We start from the raw sequence: 21,824 nt of genomic DNA, 5'->3' as shown, positions 1-21,824 counted from the left end.
AGATGTGCAGCAGTACAGCACCCCTGGCTTTTCCCACTAGATGCTGGTAGCATCCCTTCAACTGCAACAACCAAAGATTATCAATATCCTTTGGGAAGCAAAAATGCCCCGGTTTCATAACGATTGGTTTATATGAATGCCTAGGGCAAAAGAAAACCTTGACATGTTGAAATGCCTCTGATTGTGTTGGACATGTAATCTCAGTGGCATCCTTTGAGGGATATAACACCAAAGCTAAGAATCTGGGACACACATCCAATTTTCACAAAGTTTGAGAGTTCCCAGTAAAACCTGCCTCTAGTTCCAGGTGACCTCCATAAACACAGCTGTGAGTCCCTCATTAAGGAGCTAAGCAGAACCCATGAGGGAGGCCCCCTTAGCAGCTTGGGGATCAATAGATCACCTGTTTCTGAGAAGCTCATGTAGTATTTTCATAGACAGGCAACATGACTGACATGAGATCGATATCCGCCTTCTGCCCAGGAAGGGGCCATCCCCTGTTGGCACTCACCTACGGTTTGCTTCACCTCAGCTAGACCATCAGAGCCCAGGGTAGAGGTCTGCATGGAAAAGAGCAAGGCTTGTTTCCCAAAACAACAGCCAACACAGCTGGGGGAAGGAAGCCTGTACCAGCTGCCAACAGTGAAACCAACAAAATAAAGCACCCTAAAAGACTCAAACAAATAACCACCATCTCCAACAAAGAGGAAGGCAAGGGTGCTGGGTTCATGCTTCACAGGGATCATCGAAAAAGCAAAGACACAGAACCCTGTGCAGGAGATAAATTCTAAAGTGGCCAGACTTTGCAAATCACCAAAGGGAAAGCTTCCCTGGGTCTTTAGAAATCCTACTTGAAGATGCTTCATTAGGGGTGGGCGTGGCGCAGGAACTCATTAGACTCTGGTTGTCCCACGTGGACCTACCTGGCACTTAGAGTATATGGGGATAACTCAAAAGGCACAGCATGGAAAAAGGAGAAGGGAAAAGAAAATGAAGTGGGAGAAATATTTACAGCATTCTTCTAAAATCACATTTTTCACATTCTTCATCCAAAGCAAAATATATTCTTGATCAATGCTTCAGAAGCTTGCCTTTGCAATTATGATTTTGGGGGAAAAAAAGGGCAAAAAAAAAAAAAAAAGCAAGCCCAAATGAGATATGCAGGGTCTTTCTGGAAAAATTGAGTTCCATTTAGGCATCGGTTAACACTTGACATGTTTTGAGGGTCTTAGTCTTTGGGGATAACAGAATCTGTGTCTGAATCTAAACTCCAGGGCTTCATTAGCTTTGTGGGGCCAGGGAACTTACTTCTCTGAGCCTCAGCTGGTCTCATCTCTAGAAAGGTAAGGAGAATAATGATGCCTACCTTGCAGGTTTATGTCTGAGTTTACTGTGTATACCCCACAAAAGAATCAACCAAGGTTGGTCCCTCAATACAATCACTATTATGCATCCCCCCCTGTGACATTTCTGGTTTTGCAGAATTGAGCAAACGTGTATTTATTTTTTCATTATTTGTATGTTTATGAAGAGGACCATAAGGGATTATGTCTTACGGAGTTTTTAATCTTGCCTGCTGTTTATTATTGTGGCTTTGCATATCAGTGTAGCTTAATGATCAACTAGCTCTTCAATGACCACATAATTAGGAAGTAGTGCTCCTCTCCAGATAATTGGCAAATGTGTGTTATGACTCCAGCTTACCTGGAAATAGTTATCAGCAAACTGAGGTGAATAAAAATTTGTGATGGAAAAAGTCAAACAACATAAACCCTTAAAAGATGAACAGGCCTGGCCGGGCATGGTGGCTCATGCCTGTAATCCCAGCACTTTGGGAGGCTGAGGAGGGCAGATTATGAGGTCAGGAGTTCGAGACCAGCCTGGCTGACATGGTGAAACCCTGTCTCTTCTAAAAACACAAAAGTTAGCTAGGTGCGGTGGTGGGCACCTGTAATCCCAGCTACCTGGGAGGCTGAGGCAGAAGAATCACTTGAACCCGGGAGGCAGAAGTTGCAGTGATCTGAGATCACACCGCTGCACTCCAGCCTGGGCGACAGAGCAAGACTCTGTCTCAGAAAAGAAAAAAGAAAAAACAACAAAAAAAAGATGAACAGGTCCATGAACCTATACATAGAATATGTATACCACTTTAAAAAGGACTGAAGGCTGGCGGCAGTGGCTCACACCTATAATCCTAGCACTTTAGGAGGCTGATATGGGAGGACAGCTTGAGACCAGGAGTTTGAGACCACCCTGGGCAACATAGTGAGACCGTGTCTCTACAAAAAAATTGAAAAATTAGCCAAGTGTATTAGTCTGTTCCCACGCTGCTACTAAAGATATACCTGAGACTTAGTGTTTATAAAGGAAAGAGGTATAACTGACTCACAGTTCAGCATGGCTTGGGAAGCCTCAGAACACTTCTAATCGTGGCGGAAGGGGAAGCAAACAGGCTTTTCTTCACATGGCAGCAGCAAGGAAAAGTGCAGAGCAAAGGAGGAAAAGCCCGTTACAAAACCATTAGGTTTTGTGAGAACTCGCTCCCTATCCCAAGAACAGCATGGAAGTAACCATTCCCATGATTCAATTACCTTCCACCAGGTCCCTCCCATGACACATGGGGATTATGGGAACTACAATTCAAGATGAGATTTGGGTGGAGACACAAAGCCAAACCATATCACCAGGTGTGGTGGTGCATGCATATAGTCCCAGCTACTCAAGAGACCGAGGTGGGAGGACTGCTTGAGCCCAGTAGATCAAGCCTACAGAGAGCGATAACTGAACCACTACACTCCAGCCTGGGTAACAGAATAAGACCTTTTCTCAAAAACAAAAACAACAATAACAAAAAAGAAAACAAAACAAAAACAGAACTAAGCATGAACAGCTTGGCATAAAACATTAAAATTTCTCTAGGTAGAACCAAAATAGAAGAAAACATAACATCATTTCAGTAGCCTCATTTTTGAGCAAATATTTTCAAAAATTATTTGTTATTTTTATATTTTCATAGGTTTTGGGAAAACAGGTGGTGTTTGGTTACATAAATAAGTGCTTTAGTGGTGATTTCCGACAGTTTGGTACACCCATCACCAGAGCCGTAATTTGTACACTGTACCCAATTTGCAGTCTTTTACCCTCACCCCACTCCCACCCTTTCCCCCAAGTCCCCAAAGTCCATTGTATCATTCTTATGCCTCGAGCAAAGATTATTTTTTAGCAACCAGGAAATATACTTAAAAAAATCTATATTATATTTAATAAATACATTTTTATCTATTTTACTTTGATCCCACTAAAACTTGGGATAACTGACTTGAAATAAATGGAAAATATTCTGTTTCTTCTTCACTCTCTGTTTCTCTCTCTCTGGGGTTCTCTCTCCTTCTCTATATTTTTGTCTCTTCCTATGTCCCTCTGTTTCTCCCATGCTCACACACACACACACGCACACACACCAATACCCATAGCCGACATCCCCATTGGGCACAATGTTTGGAGTTTAGGACAGAATGCTTGTGCTGAGTAAAATGCAGAACACAGCTTCATTTTACCATGGATTTTTATTTATTTCTCCCAAATACCCAGAGAAGCAGATCACTGTTCCATCAGCTACCCAGCCAAGGACAGATGGATGAGAACACCGTCCATCCATAAGGTCATGAATCACAACACACTTTCACCCACTGCTGTGTCCCGGGGACATTGCTTCGCTAACTTCCCACTACCCTGTTCTCAGCCTGTTACATGATGATCCATTTTAGGCCAAGATTCTTATGCCCCTGAAAAAAGTGTTTTGTGATGACTTGCAAAAGTTTTCTCACATTCCCTTATCACTACGTAAGATATGAGGTAATGATATGTAAAGTGCTATCTGATGTCTAGTAGTAGTTAGAATGCAGGTAACTGGTCGTTTTACTTGTCTGTTTCCAGCTCTGAACTGCAAGATGCTTGAGGACTAACTTATTACCTTATTTTTTGTTGTAACACAGAAAAGTAATTTTAGAAATGGCTCTTCAATGAAATAAGCACTGTTGGGTGACACCCTTCATCACAAAACCTGTGCTTTCCTAACTGGGTAACCTTGTCCTAGTGACTGAAGCTCTCTGAATCCCAGCCTTCTCATTTGTATGACATTGCAGTAAAAAATGATTGCCTCGTTTGTTTAATAAATAAAATATCCTTCCATATAGTCCTTCCTGCTTCACTATCTGGTTTATTTTTTTCCTGAGCACATAGTAGGGATACAGGAGGGAAAAGGAGGCCATGTGACTGGTTCTGGCCAATGGGATTTGGTGATAGTAGGGTGTGTCACTTCCTTGTCAAAGCACTTGACTACCACTGTGAGACATCCAGGTGGACTTCCCCTGGGACCATGTGGAACTACTTATTGACATGGTGGGTTCCTAAGAGTAAAACCACTGGGAATGATGAGCCAATACATGCAGAAGAGCTTCTCTGTAGAGTGTCCCAGAACCTCAGTGAATCTTCATCAGCAAGAAATAAACCTTTGTTGTGTTATATCACTGAGATTTCAGAGCTATTTGTCACCACAGCACAACTTGGTGTTCCCCGACTGATACAAACTGGAGAGTTGGAAGGAAAATGAAAGGAGACAGCACATAAAAAGTTCTAAGCACTGGGACTGGTATTTATATTTAATAAGCTCCTACTGACAAATATTAAGCATTATTGCTCCAAAATCTAAACCTTTGCTTTCAGTGGAAATTCCACTGATATCACTTCAGATGAAAATATGTAGTGTTCCATTAGTATGATGTTAGGCAATGCTAGATGCTATTACAGACACCCTCCAGATGACAGTGGCTAGTTCAGTCATGGCAGGGAAGAGTGGGGAGCTTCCTGATCCACACAGTCATTCAGCGACCCAGGTAGAAGATGACAACTCCGTTTTTAACATGTAGCATCCAATGTCAGGTGCATGTTCATCAGAGGATTGGGGGAATAAAGAAGTTTGGAGCATCCCAAAGACAGTTTTGGGGGAACAGTCCTGAAAGAGCCACTTCTTCCCACATGTCACTGGGCAGAATTCGGTCACATGTCACCGCTTTGATAAAAGGGGGGCTGGAAATGTATCCCTAGATGGGTGGTTCTTTACAGGTTCTTTATCTTTGCTGGGGATGAGGAACATAAATTATTAGCAGATGGCCAGTGACTCTGGCACTGTATCCTTTAGTATTTTCAGAAAGCAATTTCCCAACAGCTGTGAAATCTTTGCCTTGGCTTAACACCCTTCCCCCAGGATTGTGGGAACTTCCTTTTATCTAGCATAAATCCCTAACGTTGCAGTAAAAAATTATTGCCTCTTTTGTTTTAGTAAATAAAATATCCTTCCACATAGTTTGACCTCAGTCACCACCTCCCTCACCCTGCCAACAAAAATAGGAACAACCCCCCATTAGCTGTTATTTCCTCCCAGTTGGAGTTCAAAGAAGGTTCAGAGGACTCAGTAAAAACATACCTAAGAAAGAAAATAGGAGGGTGAGCCATAGCATTTCAATGTCCTCAAGTTTTTAAGACCCTTAGAAGAATGAACAGTTCAGAGTACAGCAGGTCTTCGAATAATATTATGTTACAATGTTGATAAGAAAAAAATCTGATTCCCAACTGGGTCCACTATGTGGAGTTGGCATCTTCTCCCCATGTCTGCGTAGGTTTTCTCCGGGTACTCCGGTTTCCTCCCACATCCCAAAGATGTGCGTGTTTGGGGAAATGGCATGTCTACGTCGTCTCAGCATGAGTGAGTGTGTGTGTCAGCACATCCTGACCAGAGTGGTCCCTGCCTTGTGCCCTGAGATGCTACGACAGGCTCCACCCACTCGAAAGCCTGAACTGGAATAAGCAGGTTGCAAAATGAAAGAATGAATACTCACGACTGCCAAATAAAAACTGATAAAGTAGATGCTAATCATAAAAGTGCACAACAATAAACAATGCGGTATGAAGGTGCCCAGTGAGCCTGCCATGCTAGTCATTGTTTTTGAACTGTGTGATGGGGGGAGGTGCTCCTGACAGTTTTTGCTTTGCAAAAATAAAAAATTATTTTTTGATGTAACGCACCATGCCTACCACCACCATCACTGATTAATCAAAAACTGGCTAAATTATCTTGCATGTTTTTATTAATCTTTATTTATTTATTTATTTATTTATTTATTTATTTTTTATTGAGATGGAGTCTCACTCTGTCACCCAGACTAGAGTGCAGTGCTGTGATCTTGGCTAACTACAACCTCCACCTCCTGGGTTCAAGCGATTCTCCTGCCTCAGCCTCCCGAGTACCTGGGATTACAGGCGTCTGCTACCACACCAGTTAATTTCTGTACTTTTAGTACAGACAGTGTTTCACCACATTGATCAGTCTGGTCTCAAATTCCTGACCTCAGGTGATCTGCCCACCGTGGCCTCCCAAAGTGCTGGGATTACAGGCATGAGCCACCGTGCCTAGCCCTTTATTAATCTTTTTAAAATGTATGTATGGTTCACATGTGTTTTCATGTTTAATTTTAGAAGTGTTTTGGGTCTTTATTTAGAAGATCAGTGATGCTTTTATGACCAGAAATGTGCTGCAGGAACTTAACTCTTGTTTGTATCAATCAGCTCATGGTAAAAGGTATTCTGTTACACGTCATTTTGCTTAAAGTCACAGTTTCCAGCAATCTATAGACAATGTTGAGAGGACTTAGTATCCATTTAAATTTGAAGAAAATATAAATATACAAGGACCAAACAACATGCATAGGCTTAATCAAGCACATCATTGCCTTTAGACACTAGGATGTAATTATCTTTATCAGAGTTATGATATGACACAGAAGAAAAATCACTCACAGGCATAAAATGAGGCCGTGTCTTTTTCTAAAGGCAGATTTCAAACAACGTGTCGTAATCTGTCCTGTCGCCTTGCGGGGAGACCCCAGGCCATGTCTCAAAGCAACTACACGATAGCATTCCTGGATGCTGTTTTTTTTTTTTTTTTTTTTTAATTGAGACGGAGTCTCGCTCTGTCCCCCAAGCTGGAGTGCAGTGGTGCCATCTCGGCTCACTGCAAGCTCCGCCTCCCAGGTTCACGCCATTCTCCTCCCTCAGCCTCCCGAGTAGCTGGGACTACAGGCGCCCGCCACCACGCCTGCCAAATTTTTTGTATTTTTAGTAGAGACGGGGTTTCACCGTGTTATCCAGGATGGTCTGGATCGCCTGACCTCGTGATCCGCCCACTTTGGCCTCCCTAAGTGCTGGGATTACAGGCGTGAGCCACCACGCCCAGCCCGTGGTTGCTGGTTCTTAATAGAAGATACGGGCCGGGCGCGGTAGTCACGCCTGTAATCCCAGCACTTTGGGAGGCCGAGGCGGGCGGATCACGAGGTCAGGAGATCGAGACCATCCCGGCTAAAACGGTGAAACCCCGTCTCTACTAAAAATACAAAAAATTAGCTGGGCTTGGTGGCGGGCGCCTGTAGTCCCAGCTACTTGGGAGGCTGAGGCAGGAGAATGGCGTGAACCCTGGAAGCGGAGCTTGCAGTGAGCGGAGATCGCGCCACTGCACTCCAGCCTGAGCGACAGAGCAAGACTCAGTCTCAAAAAAAAAAAAAAAAAAAAAATAGAAGATACGGACAGAAACCCTTGCTACACCGAGTTCCGCCCCCTCCTCACAGCATTCCCACGCTAGTGAAAAACTGACGCACAGGCAGAGAACTCCTATCCTGTTGCCATGGGGAGACCTAGGCAGAGCCGGCATGAAAGCAACAGCTGACATGAACAACGTGTGTTACCTCAGTTAAGCCGTATGCTGGAGCCCACTTTACAGATAAGAAAACTGAGGACTAGAGAAGTTAAGTGACTCACCCACGGTCCCACCAATAATATATCGCAAGGCCAGAATGGAAACCCACATCTCCTTGAGTGTGCAGCTCAAGTGTTTCCCTCTCATCGCTTGAATGAAGAGTTTAAACATTCTTGAAAGGGGAACAGGGTTGGCAGAGCGAGAGAAAAATTGTCTGGGTGACAGTGAAGCTGGCTGCCTCAACGCCCGCGGAGGATGTCTGTTAGAAGCAACCTAACCTAAGCGAGGGTATAACCTCGAGGGAGGCCAGTATGGCTTGCCTGTCTTCCTCTGACTGTCCTCCAAGACACACCTATCACGTCCAGGCTGGAAAACAGGACAGCTGCCGGAGTGTCGCTGCGAGGCCAGCGGGTGTCACTGCCTCCCCACGGTGCTCAGAGAGAGCCTGCTGTGAACGGCAGCCAGCGACATTCAGGCTCCCAGCTCTCCCGCAGCCGGGCTTCGCGCCCGTGCCTTCTCTACCAAGTGTCTCTTTCGGGAGGCGCGTCACCCCTGAGCATGTCACACAGCAGACAGCAGCCCCGTGCTGATGGCCAACGTCATAAGCCTTATTTTCCAGAGTTTTTCTACCTCTCCAAAAACACCGCTTCCTTTCAAAATCGCACTATGTGTAAAATCAAAATAAGATGGATGGGGAGATGCAGGAATATCAGAGATTTGCACTCACAGTAAATCAGAAGAATTTTTTAAAGCCCTTCCTGAGTGACAGCAGGCTCCCTGATTATGATCTGAGTGAATGGCAGACTCTTTCCAGCAGTTTTCTTACTCAAGAGACAGGCCAGGATAAAGTAACAGCTGTAAAGAAATTTCTTAGAGCTGAGAGAAAGACAGTCCGGGGCAGGAGAAAGCCTTTCTCTGTTTCTTACTTTCTAGGGGAGGGTATGGCGTCCCCTGGCAGACTTCGGTGAGGCGTGTTTGTGGCAGTCACGGCAAACCCACCATGACCCACGTCTGATGGCTGATTTAACGTTGTCTACTGAAAGGGCACTGTTTCCCTTCACATAGAAATGATGGTAAAGTCTCTGGTAGTGGTGAAACCCTGCCTCTACAAAAGGTGCAAAAATCTGCAGTGCCCATGGTCTAGGGTCTGAGGGAGCAGATCAACGAGAAATTAAAATACTATCCTATCTGAGTCTGTAGGAGAATTGAGTGTTGACTTGATCTCTTAATAGAGTGATCCCTGACTAGACTTGAGTTCAAGGTCCCCGAGGGAAGGTATTTATTTTGTTCACTGCTAAGTTCCCAGCACTCTTGGGAACAAAGTAGGCACTTAGTAAGTATTTATTGATGGCTGGGCATGCGGGATCACTCCTGAAATCCCAACACTTTGGGAGGCGAAGGTGGGTGGATCACTTGAGGTCAGGAGTTCGAGGCCAGCGTGGCCAACATGGTGAAACCCCGTTTCTACTAAAAGACACAAAAAATTAGCTGGGTGCATATCTCACACCTGTAATTCTAGCTACTCGGGAGGCTGAGGCAAGAGAATCGCTTGAGCCCGGGAGGCAGAGGTTGCGGTGAGCTGAGATAGTGACACTGCACTCCAGCCTGGGTGACAGAGTGAGACTCTGTCTAAAAAAAAAAAGACAGAGAAGGTGGGAAGATGTGAAAACATAGCTGTCCATCTGGGGAAGACTCAGCAATCTTGCCTGGCTATGCTACGGTTCACGCTAAATAATGGAAGGGATTTTAATGAGTTTATATATATTTGTACATGCACGCTTAGTGTCTCTTAGATAAGAGCCCAACAAAGGTTAGACATTCTTTTCATGTGCATAGTTTTGATCCTGTAAGTAGATTTAAAACGTTCTTCAACCTTTAATGTTTTAAAAGCAGAACATACTCATTAAGAAAATGTGCAAAATTCATAACTAGATCTCAGACAACTTGGAAGAGTCATGGGTTTATTCTCTATGTCCTATAGAATTTGATACAGATTTGTCACTTAAAAATATACATTATGAAATCAAATATAGGCAAAACATATTTAAATAAATATTATACTTCCACGACGGGATATCAAGTAACGTTTTAAAAAGAATGAGATGACAATGAGATTATGTTCTAATACATAAAGAGACCCTGGAACGCTTGCTAAGTGTGTATTGGCAGAAAAATCCACTTTTTATTATTTCATGTATATTAGGACAAAACTGTATACTTATACAGGCCATGTAAAGGTATAAAAATGTGAAAGGCTATCACCAAATTGTTAACACAGGCAAGGAGTACAACTGTATATAAAATGATGATAATCATAATTGTAATAAAAGTAATTAATCAAATGTTACCAACAGTTGTAAAAACTAAGAAAAGAAATATCATCCTCAATCAAACCACTCATGATAATGACTCATATTTTTACATATGCTTTTTTGATAAATTAATTCACTCAAAAAATATTTACTGAGTGGCTGCAGCAGGCCCAGAACTCTGCTGGTGCATTCTTCTTTCCTCTGTGTAATAAATATTTCCTGACTGATCCTTTTGCTCTATTCAATGGATCTCAGGAGGCATGCCTTCAGCAGGCTCAAGAGAACCCCAAGATTCTCTGTAATGAGCTGATTACAGGTAAGGATTCCTAGAAAACAGGCAAGCAACAGGTCCTTGATGTTCTCCATCAAATCCTCTCCTCTCTCCCCGACTACCCCAGCACACAAACCCCTTGCCTTTTATTTCACCCAAGTAGAAAAACTCAAATCAGGAAAGAAAATCTATATGAAGCATACACAACTTAAAAAAATCACTCCGAGCACTGGGTCTCTGCCATAGATCACAGTCACCTGATATTGATTCCTGACAGGAATGGTCTCCTAGGTTTCAAATGTGCCCTTCTCTCTGGAAGGATGCCCACCGTCACCCCCTGCAGCTTCCTTGCTCCTCCCACTGGATTCCAGTCCTGCTGTGGTTCTCAGGCCCTCAGCCCTGGGAGCAGCAGCTCACATTATCAACGGCAAGAGCCTCTGACAATTTTCGAAGAAGCCTTTTGGGAATAGACCCCTTTTGTTTGTAGTTGTCAAAACAAATTACGGGCTATATGCCTGAAATGATGTCAACTCCAAGATATTCTCCCTGAGGACCCACAAACTTGCAAATGTGAATCCCAGTCCTTGGTAGTAGAAAGGCCAATCCACAATGCCTGCTCATCTCAGTAGGACCTTCTCCTTAACAGTTCCACAGGAGTCTATATTTAGTAAACAATAATGTTATTTTGAAAACAGGGTACCCAGAGCCTCTGATTAATGAGCAATATAACCGTTATTCAATCAAAGGCCCTGCAAGATTTCAAATTTCTCTTCCTTCTCCCCATCCCATCCTTAACTGAGGCACCCATCAAGAATGGTATTTCAAAGTTAATTGAGTCTTTAAAAGTAAAATAGTTATAATAATTGAGGAAAAAATATTAGCTATTTCCACACTTAAACAAATGCCACATGGCACATAAATTCTGCCATCTGCTATAACTTTTCCTGAGTAGGAAGTTGGCGGATACTGCAAAATCATCTACATATGACTGATAATTTTTAGCCAAGCCTAAATAAAAAGGTGCTTTGTCTTTATATGCTGTTAAAAAAAGCTAGAGATACAGATAAACAATAAAACATGCTCTTGATCTTTATTTTTTCCAATTAAGCATACATGTATAAATTATATTTTATATGTGTATGTATGTGTGTATATATATATATAGAGAGAGTACAGTGGATCTTTTATATCTTCTGAGCCTTATTAGAGTGTATTAACTCAGTATTAAGCTGAGTCAATAATGCTGTACTTCTTCTATCTTTCATATAAAAAATTCTCGATTTTACTTACTTTGGCCTGTTCCAGGAGGGGCCTGGAACACAATCCTTTGCTTATGCAGCATACATTGAGAGTTAAAACACAAAAACACTGATTTTCAAAACAAAAGAGTATCTTACAGTGAAGGGGGAACAATACACAATGGGTATAATTCATACAAACTGAAAATATAAATCCATGGTCAATGAAATCGTGTCCTTGTAGAACACTTGAAGTTTCCTAATATATAACGAAATTAGTGTAGTCAGATTTCATTTAAGCACATGGCTCTGTAGTCCATTATTTAAACGGCACTGTCAATCATGAAAGAATACTTCAAGCGCATGACAACAAAATGCTATCAATACTGAAGGTCGTCCTCTAAACCAGAAGAGAATGCAAGGGTTTCCTAACGACTTCTTCTCAAACAAATTACCGGCAGGCTGCACCAAAATGAATTTTATTATTGAGGACAAGTGAATTGTACAGTACTTATAGCAAACACATTAGGGGATTAAAATTGATTGAAGGAGATTGGATTTCAAAAGATATAAATAGGGAAGACTTGAAAAATCTGCTTAAAGAGAACTTAACGAAACAGCCGTGGAATTCAGCCACTGGCCAACCACTCAGGAAGGTATGCTTGGGTTTTCTCTAGAGAATGAAGGGAGAATACTAAATTCTGGATGGTAGGTAAGCTGTTATTGTCAAGGTACTCACAGGATGGGTTCCCACAGAAAACCACCCATGGACAGAAAGGTTGACAGAGCCCATGAAACTTCTGCAACAGAAAAGTAGATTTCTCCACGTCGCAACTATTTAACCCAATTACAGCTCATAGCTTGCCAGAAGTTGTTTAGACTGACTTCGTCTCAGAGGTCTGTCTAGGACACTTCCATCTAGTGAAGGATAAGCTATGGGAAGCAACAATTACTTTGGCACTGATTAGCTGTGGGATAATCCAAAGAATAAAAGTCAACACTTCCTAAGTGCCCTTAGTCTGGCAAACATTCTGGTATGAGCATCACATGAAGTAACTTACTGAATCCTCACAACTCCATGAGGTAGATACTACTAGGATCCTATTCTACAGCAATGAGATGAAAACTCATTCAACAAAAAGAAATGTTTGTTGTTTTGAGAGGCTAACTTTGGGAGTAATTTCTTACACAGTATTAGATAACTAATACAGAGTATTAGATAACTTATACATTGCTTCCACAATTCTGTAAGAAGAAAAGCTTCAAAATATCCTCAGTTTACATGGATATCAAGAGGCAGAGAGAGTATTCAAAGCTGGGCTGCTGACACCAGAATCTGTATTCTTAAGTAGCATATTATCCAAGAGCTATCTCTAATCCCAGTATTGTGGGAGGCTGAGGTAGGCAGATCATTTAAGGTTGGGAGTTTGAGACCAGCCTGGCCAATGTGGTGAAATCCCATCTGTACTAAAAATGGAAAAATCACGTGGGCATAATGGCACGTGCCTGTACTCCCAGCTACTTGGGGGCAGTGCTGAGGCAGGATAATCGCTTAAACCCAGGAGGCGGAGGTTGCAGTGAGCCGAGATCGCGCCACTGCACTCCAGCCTGGGTGTCAGAGAAGACTCAATCTCAAAAAATAATAAAAAAAAGAGTTATAAGCACACTGGTAATCAAACTTTCCACCCAACTGGCCCCTGAAATGGAAGAAGACATTAGGAAATGATTTACTGTTATACAGAGTTACATGTTCTATCCAGGGCTCTCTTCTGAGAATCAGAATAAGATACATGAGAATGAACCCCCAAGATGGCCCTGAGATAATCCCCATCTTCTGTTATTCGTGCCTTTGTGCCATCTCCTCCCACACTGTACAAGAGTTCCAATGGAACATGGCAGAAGTGATGGTATGTCACTCTGAGGTTGGGTTATAAAAGACTATGGCTTCCATCTTAGCATCTCTCCCTTCTTTCTCCCTTTTCTCTCCCCGCTTTCTCTGTCTCATAACTCAATTTGGTAGAGAGCCATCCGCCATGTCTCCAGGACACTCCAGCAGCCTGTAAAGAGGCCCATGTGGTGAAGAACTGAGGCCTGCCAATATCCATATGAGTGAGTCTAGAAGCAGTACTTCCAACTGTCACTGACGGCTGCCCCAGCTGATGTACTGAACCACCACCTCACAAGGAAACTAGAGCTAGAGCCACTCCCAGATTCCTGGACCTCAGAAACTCTATGAGATGAAAAAGAAACTTTTGTTGTTTTGAGAGGCTAACTTTGGGAGTAATTTGTTACATGGTATTAGATAACTAATACATGTCATTACCCGTAAAGCTGCACTGTCAAAGACCTTAAATAGTGGACCACTTCAGGCCAGAAGTTCAAGGCCAGCCTGTTCAACATAGTCAGACCCTACCTCTACAAAGAATTTAAATAATTAGCCTGGCATGGTGGCATGCGCCTGTAGTCCCAGCTACTCGGGAGGCTGAGGTGGGAAGATTGCTTGAGCCTGGCAGTTCAAGGCTCCAGCAAACTGTAATCTCACCACTCACTCCAGCCTGGGTGACAGAGTGAGACCCTGTCTCTAAAAAGGAATTTTAAAAAATTTTAAAAAAATAGTGGGGTTTGTCCATAAAGCCCTAAATGCTTAATTTGTTGCTTTGTATGGACCAACTCAAAAATGTGGCCCTGAGGGACAAGAAAAGCACAGTATGTAAATAGGCATCCATCCACTGACATTTCAGAATATCTACTGGGTGCCAGGCACTGGTGTAGTGCTGGGATGTGGCGCTGAAATGAAAGAGACAAGGTCCTTTCCTTTGTTCTCAAGTGGACAGAGACTGAGAACAAGCAGACACATAAGAAACACAATGAAATAGTAATAAGTGCTATGAAGGTGACAGAGCAGAGAACCAGGGTGACTGTCTCTGTGGCTGGAGCAGCCAAGAAAGGCCTCTCTCATGAGAGATATTTGAGAAGAGTCCTGAATCATGAGAACTGCCAGCCAAGAGGCTATCTAGGGACAGAAAGACCAAACGAACCTGAGCTACTCAGTAGTTGTATAATCTTCAGCACACAGAGTAACATCCATGCCTCAGTTTCCCCATCTCTCTGTGTTCAGGACAATAATAATTTGCCTCACAGGATAAAGGGGATGAAATAAGATACCGTATCTGAATGAAATTTGGAGATTAGGAAGCTGCTATTCATCATTCCCCATTTAAAATAGTCTGACTGCTTGGTACTGCTTTGAAACTGCCAAGACTGGGTCAACATTATCCCCAAACCAAAGGCGATGCAGAGAAATCTGGACAGCCTGCTCATTTAATAGAGTATCAGTCTCATGGGAAACTAACTCAGTTATGGAAGAGTCTGACCATTAATTTCAACGATTTGACTGTGTAATATAATGTTTCAATCCTAGAACACAATTTAAGCTGGGACAGGTAGTCATTAGTTAACTTAGAGTCTGTAAATTCATCTCCAACATGTCAATTTTTTGTGGTCTATGTTCAAAGACTTGCCAAAAAAGATATGGGGAAAATATTTCAAAGTCCATGAAATCTAGCATCTCAATATCAAACAGTGTCTCGACTGCTACTGCAGATAAAAACGCTGATAGAAATTTTTATTAAAACAGTAAGCAAAGGGTAAGCATGCTTGTCAAACACAGATCCTGTTTCTCATATAGATGAGAGTGCCAGGAACAGTAAAGATGAAAAGTGGATGGAATACTGATTTAGCCTGTGGAGAAGACAGACTTGAGGAGTGTGCGTAAAGGGGTCAAAATGAATACCTATCAGTAATACCTTCTAAAGATAATAAGAAATGAAATAAAGCAGTATTTCGGCAAACAAAGGTCTCGACAAATAGTCAAGGGATAAGCAGCCTATGGTTTGAAACCAGATATTCATTACACATTAATGACAAAGTCTCTGTAGATTAAGAAAGCCAACATTTCAAACTAGGCTCACTAAGAAGAGAAGAAAAAAAAAATCAAATGGAGGTCCCTACGTCTAGCCACAAAATTCCTAAAAGTTACATATTTTAGAATGACAATACTATAACTACACATCTTAAAGGTACTGCTTTTGACAGGATCACACCTAGAATCGAGGTGCAATTAGGCATAGCTGTTCGCCATGATGCTGTGAGACTGGCCTGTGGCTTTTTCTCACCGTGGTGGATCTCAGTTGCTTTTCACCAAAAAATTATGTTTCTCCTTCAAAACAACGGAGGTGATTGTACCTCCTTGCCTACTTGGACTTAGGCATAGCTGAATGTCTTGTTTTAGCTAATAAATTTGAACAGTGATGACACACATTACTTTGGGATAACACCTTGAAGGAACAGTGTGCAATTAACTCTGTTTGTTCTCTGTCCTGGTAATCGCAGAAGAGGTGTAACCTGTGACCCTGCATGAAGAACAAATAGAGTAGCACTCCCAGCCAGTGCAGGATGAACAGAGAGAAATATGTGAGGAAAAAAACAAAAACAAAAACAAAGCACATTGGTTCTTTTAAGCCATGGATATTGGGGGTTATGTGTTACTACAGCATAGCCTGTCTTACCCTGATTGATAGCCTCACATAGCTGCTAATCCTTCCAGCTCTTTTTTTCATCAGGTGAGCTTATAGCAAAAATTAAAGAAAAAGTGAGCTGGGTGCAGTGACTCACACCTGTAATCCCAGCACTTTGGAAAGCCAAAGCGGGCGGATCACGAGGTCAGGAGATCGAGACCATCCTGGCTAACATGGTGAAACCCCCGTCTCTACTAAAAATACAAAAAAATAGCCAGGCGTGGTAGCAGGCTCCTGTAGTTCCAGCTACTTGGGAGGCTGAGGCAGGAGAATCGGCTTGAATCTGGGAGCTGGGCGCAGTGACTCACACCTGTAATCCGAGCACTTTGGGAAGCCGAAGCAGGTGGATCACGAGGTCAGGAGATCGAGACCATCCTGGCTAACATGGTGAAACCCCATCTCTACTAAAAATACAAAAAATTAGCCAGGCATGGTGGCGGGCGCCTGTAGTTCCAGCTACTTGGGAGGCTGAGGCAGGAGAATCAGCTTGAATCTGGGAGATGGAGGTTGCAGTGAGCCAAGATCGCGCCACTGAGCTCCAGCCTGGGCAACAGAGTGAGACTCTGTCTCAGACAAAAAAAAAGAAAAGAAAAGAAAAAGTCATTTCACATTTGGGGGCCTATGGCTATTTGTACTTTGTCTTTTCTACAATGAGTAGTATTTTGTTATCACTGTAGTTTACCTTCCCTGTTGCAAATGCTTTTTTTTTTTTTTTTTTGGAGACAGAGTCTCCCCACCCAGGCTGGAGTGCAGTGATGCAATCTCTGCTCACTACAACCTCTGTCTCCTGGGTTCAAGCAATTCTTGTTTAGTCTCCCCAGGATTACAAGTGCATGCCAGCACATCCAGCTAATTTTTGTATTTTTAGTACAAATGGGGTTTCACCATGTTGGCCAAGCTGATCTCCAACTCCTGACCTCAAGTGATCCTCCCACCTTAGCCTCTCAAAGTGCTGGGATTACAGACATGAGCCACCGTGCCCAGCCGCAAATGCTTTAATTTTAAAAAATTTTTAAATAAGGACTGAACAGATTCAAGGTGTACAATGTGATGATTTATATATGCCTTGTGTAATGATTACCGCAATCAAATAAATTAACACATCCATCACCACCCACACTGGGGAACAAGATCCTCAGAACCTGTTCATCTTTTTACTGAAATTTGTGTGTTTTGACCAACAGCTCTCCATTTCCCCCACCCCCAAACCTTGCCAACCACCTTTCTACTCTCTGCTTCCAAGAGTTCAGCTTTTTAGATTCCATATATCAGTGAGATCATGCGGTATTTGTCATTCTGTGCCTGGCTTATCTCACTTAGCACGGTGTCCCCCAGGTTTACCCATGTGTTTGTTTGTTTATTTTTGTTTGTTTTTGTTTGTTTTTGAGACAGAGTCTCACTCTGTTGCCCAGGCTGGAGTGTAGTGGCACGATCTCGGCTCACTGCAAGCTCTGTCTCCTGGGTTCACACCATGTTTTTACGAACACAGTATTTCCTTCTTTTTATAGCTGAATAATACTCCACTGTATGCACTGCAGCCCAGCCAATACTGCCACATATTTTCATTAAAAACCATAGAGCATGTTCCATATGTACATGATGCTCTTGAGTTTCTGCACCACTCCATTCATTCATTCACAGTGAGGGTAAGCAAGGCAATCATGGCTTTTATCCTCATCAAGCTTACAGACTTTCGTGGAAAACAGAAAATTAAAGAGCCTAGAACAATCCACAGTGTAGGCTACAAGAACATCCAGAAGTGATTGTGAGGTTAAGGTTGGTGGAGGTGAAGGGTGGCTAGAAATAGCTTGCTGGGAAGAAGCAGAAACAACATGGGTGCTGTAGTTTACATGTCTGTCCCCTCCAAATCTCATGTTGAAGAATGATCCCCACTGTGGCAGGCAGACCTAATGGGATATATATATATACACACACACACATATACGCACATATACACACACACACATACATATACATACATACACACACACACACACATATATATATATTTTTTTTTTGGAGACAGGATCCCACTGTGTCTCCTAGACTGGATTGCAGTGGCTCAGTCTCAGCTCACTGCAACCTCCACCTCCCAAGCCCTACTGATGTGTGTGCCCTACTACCAGTGTGTGCCACCATGCTTGGCTACTTTTTTTGTATTTTTGTAGAGATGAGCTTTTGCCACGTTGCTGATAACGGTCGTGAACCCCTGAGCTCAAACAATCTGCCTACCTTGGCCTCGCAAAGTGCTGGAAGTACAGGCGTGAGCCACCACACCCAGCCATCTTTTTATCGGCTTACCCAACTCCTGACCATAGTATTTTCCTTGGGAGACAAGGTAGAGTAGATGTAAGGGACTCTGGGCTCTAGGGATGCACCAAATTTTTTGACTTACATCTCAATAACTTATACACATCCAATCTAGGGGGGATCCCAGTTTCTCATCTGATAAATGAGGGTAATAATAAGATGGACTTAAATGGATTCCTATGAAATATTGATGTGAAATGCTTAGAATAGTGCCTGGCCCATTGTAAGCTCTCAGTAAATGTTCATAAAGAATAATGTCAACAGACAATGCTTCTAAATCTCATGCGTGTTGCACAGGATGCTAAAATTGTCTTGGAAGTCACGCAGTGCCATGGACTAGAACTAATTCAGAGAGACAGAGTCACAAAGGACGACAACACAGGAACCACCTGAGTATTCATTTTGCACCAGGCATTGCACTTGGGCCTGGGGAAACAGCACTTGGAAGAAGTGAGTATACTCCATGGCCCCCTGCCCCTGCAGCATCTGAGTCTAATTGTGCAAATGACATTGAACACATGATAAAACATGCTGGTAAGCTTCATGGAAGGTACATTGCACAGAAGGACATACCCAGGAAAGGGCTGTGGGACTCATCCTATGGCTCTCTGCCCAAGGAAACAGTAACAACTATGCAAAAAAAAAAAAAAAAAAGAAAGAAAGAAAGAAAGAAAGAAAGAAAGAAAGAAAGAAAGAAAGAAAAGAATCAAGAATCAAGGCCTGCAGTTGCTTACACAGACTCAAAATATAGCAGCTTTCTCAATTAGAAAGAAAAAAAGCAACTTGTGCAGAATGTGAACCTCCAAGGAGTTTTAAAGGGCATTTCATAAATCACTGTTTCACCTGGTTCCAAGTAAGAGACTCAGATTCATGGCTGCTTTCTCATTTGTCAACTAAAAGTATTTATTAGTACATGCAAGATGTTTAGAAACTTGCACAACCACTTATAACCTATTAGTGAAATATCCAATTACACACATCGTGTCTTCATTTACTTCCAAACTAAATACTTGGAAACCTGGACTGAGTCACCCTTGCTAATCCTGCTACATATACCTCCTGTATGCCAGCACAGCTGAATTTCCACAGTGATCATAGACAAAAGTTGATGATGCCTATTAAATATTCAATATGTGCTCTGAAGAGTGATACACAGTTTATGGATACTATTTCACTCACAAGAATGTTATAAAGTGAATACTAGTGTTGCCTTATCTGTACAATGACTGTTCTGTACAATTAGTGTGCAGATAAGGCAATCTCTAATTGTACAGATAAGGTAATCAGGTCTTAAAGTGGTTAAATCACTGATACAAGTTCAGAGGGCTGGCACCCAAGTCATCTGATTCCAGAGCCACAAACTCTTGACTACAATGTTACTTACCCATGAACTATCTTGAACTATGGAGTCTAATTCTCTACCCATGCAGCCGACATCAGTAGAAATGCAGCTGAACATCAGTAATGATGGAAATGAGTAATATCCCGCTGAAAACTCCATGCCTTAAAGCACCAACATGGCCTCATAATGATCTCTACACAGTTTGTTCCTGTATAACAGATCTAGGTGGATGATGTGAATGTGGTTAGCTTTAGCTTGACTTACCTAGGCCAGAGTGATACATACTCATTAGGCAAAGTGCTGCCAATACCGTCATTAAATCATTCACCAGAATCCAACTTGTGGATTCCTCCAAGGCCATGAGGTTAGCAACTAAAAAACTGGCCCCTACACATGTTCAGAAATCTGTCCACTAATCACTTATAAAGCCATATTATGTTACCAATAATTAAATTACAGTATTTAAAAATTCATCCTGGTGTCATTAGCAATCTTCCAGCAACTAGCATAAAAGAAAAAACAAAAAGATAAAATAAAAGAAAGGAAAAGAATAGCAGGAACAGATTCTGCAACTGAATTGAATTTTCCTCCTAAAATTGGTTTGTTCTACATGACAACCCCTCGCCCTTCTAAAAATCACACATCTTCCTTTATACTGTGTTCATATTCAAAACAACATTAAACCCATATCCATAAGTCAGCCTGATAGACTAACAACAGGGAAGGTTTCCTCAGAACTGTTACAGCCTATTGGGTAAATACATATTTGGTACACGTTCTAATTTTGAAAAACATGTTATTTACTTACTAGACTGTAACAGTTCTACTGAATGGTTACAGACTACCAGGTAAATATGTATTACGGAATGCATGCATATTAATTCTGAAACCATGGAACATTTACCCAGCAGACTGTAACATTCTGGTCTGCTGTGGACAGCCCCTGCCCCCGTGAATCTTTTCCCTAGTAGACAGCAGGGAACCTTTCCAGTCATTTGCTTGGGCGTGAAGCATATTCATTTTAAGGAGGGAAGCCTTCCAGACTAGTATCCAATTACTTTTTGTTACAAATATCAAAGTTCATAGACTGCAAATTAAAACAGCACTAATGAAAAACAGCTGCACATAGCAACAATTAAGCAGATAATTCAACTTAAGCCTGTGGTTGGAGGGTGCGTTTGAAGTTGTCTTTAAGTGGATGGATACAAGTTGAAATTTGCACATTGACTATCTACAGCACATGCCTCTGAGGGATGAATGCCAACTAGCATCATCTTGATGTGGCCTGCATTCATTTTATCCTTTCACATTAAATATTTATTGGACAGCAACATGCCAAGCACTAGGCTTGATCTTGGAGATTCCATGAAGAGCAAGTCAGACAGTACTCCAGCCCTCTTAGGGCCTACAGTCTATGAGAGAGACAGACATCAACCACATAATCACACAAGTACACAGCTATAAACTGCATTAAGCGCCCTCATAATCAATTTTCAATGCAGAAGTTCAAATTATTCATTTGAAATGTAAGTCAAGACCCTATTTTACTCAAGTAAAATCCAAAGGCCCTGAATGCCTACAAGTCCTAAGTGGTTTGCACCTCCTCCTCACCTTGCTTCTTCCCTCAACTCATTCCCTGCTATTTTCCGCTCCACTCCCTCTGGCCCTTCTATTGTCTCTTGAACAGACGGCTACTCTCAAGCCTTAGATCTTTTGCTTTGACTGTTTTCACTGCCTGGAATGCTCTTCCAAATCCATGCAGCTGGCTTTATGCCAAAATGTCACCTTCACAGTAAGGCCCACACTGGCCCTCTCCTCCTCATGTAAAATTGCAATGGATTCTTCCACCCCCACTCTCCTGCCCTCCTCATCCTTTTCTGTTTTGGTTTTCTTTTTTCCATAGCACTGCTCATGTTCTAACACAATTTGCTCAGGCATCACGCACACTTTTCATTGTTTTTCCCCCC

At 42.3% G+C, this 21,824-nt stretch overlaps 1 protein-coding gene across 28 annotated transcripts in view, besides 2 other annotated features; it reads right to left on the bottom strand.

The window, feature by feature from the left end:
• RBFOX1 (RNA binding fox-1 homolog 1) overlaps nt 1-21,824 on the bottom strand; it is a 2,473,620-nt gene that overhangs the window by 1,131,291 nt on the left and 1,320,505 nt on the right. The gene's annotated exons all lie outside the window — the stretch shown is intronic.
• Nucleotides 7,797-8,296: an enhancer, noted in NCBI's record as "H3K4me1 hESC enhancer chr16:6623755-6624254 (GRCh37/hg19 assembly coordinates)". NCBI's record gives its function as "activates a minimal SCP1, AML or CMV promoter by ChIP-STARR-seq in naive H9 embryonic stem cells {active_cell/tissue: H9 hESC(naive)}" and the evidence as "EXISTENCE:reporter gene assay evidence [ECO:0000049][PMID:30033119]".
• Nucleotides 8,297-8,798: an enhancer, noted in NCBI's record as "H3K4me1 hESC enhancer chr16:6623253-6623754 (GRCh37/hg19 assembly coordinates)". NCBI's record gives its function as "activates a minimal SCP1, AML or CMV promoter by ChIP-STARR-seq in naive H9 embryonic stem cells {active_cell/tissue: H9 hESC(naive)}" and the evidence as "EXISTENCE:reporter gene assay evidence [ECO:0000049][PMID:30033119]".

This window comes from Homo sapiens, chromosome 16 (assembly GCF_000001405.40).
Source record: "Homo sapiens chromosome 16, GRCh38.p14 Primary Assembly".
Lineage (NCBI taxonomy): Eukaryota > Metazoa > Chordata > Mammalia > Primates > Hominidae > Homo > Homo sapiens.
Note: the sequence above shows the minus strand (reverse complement) of the source record. Positions and strands in the feature narration are given on the sequence as shown.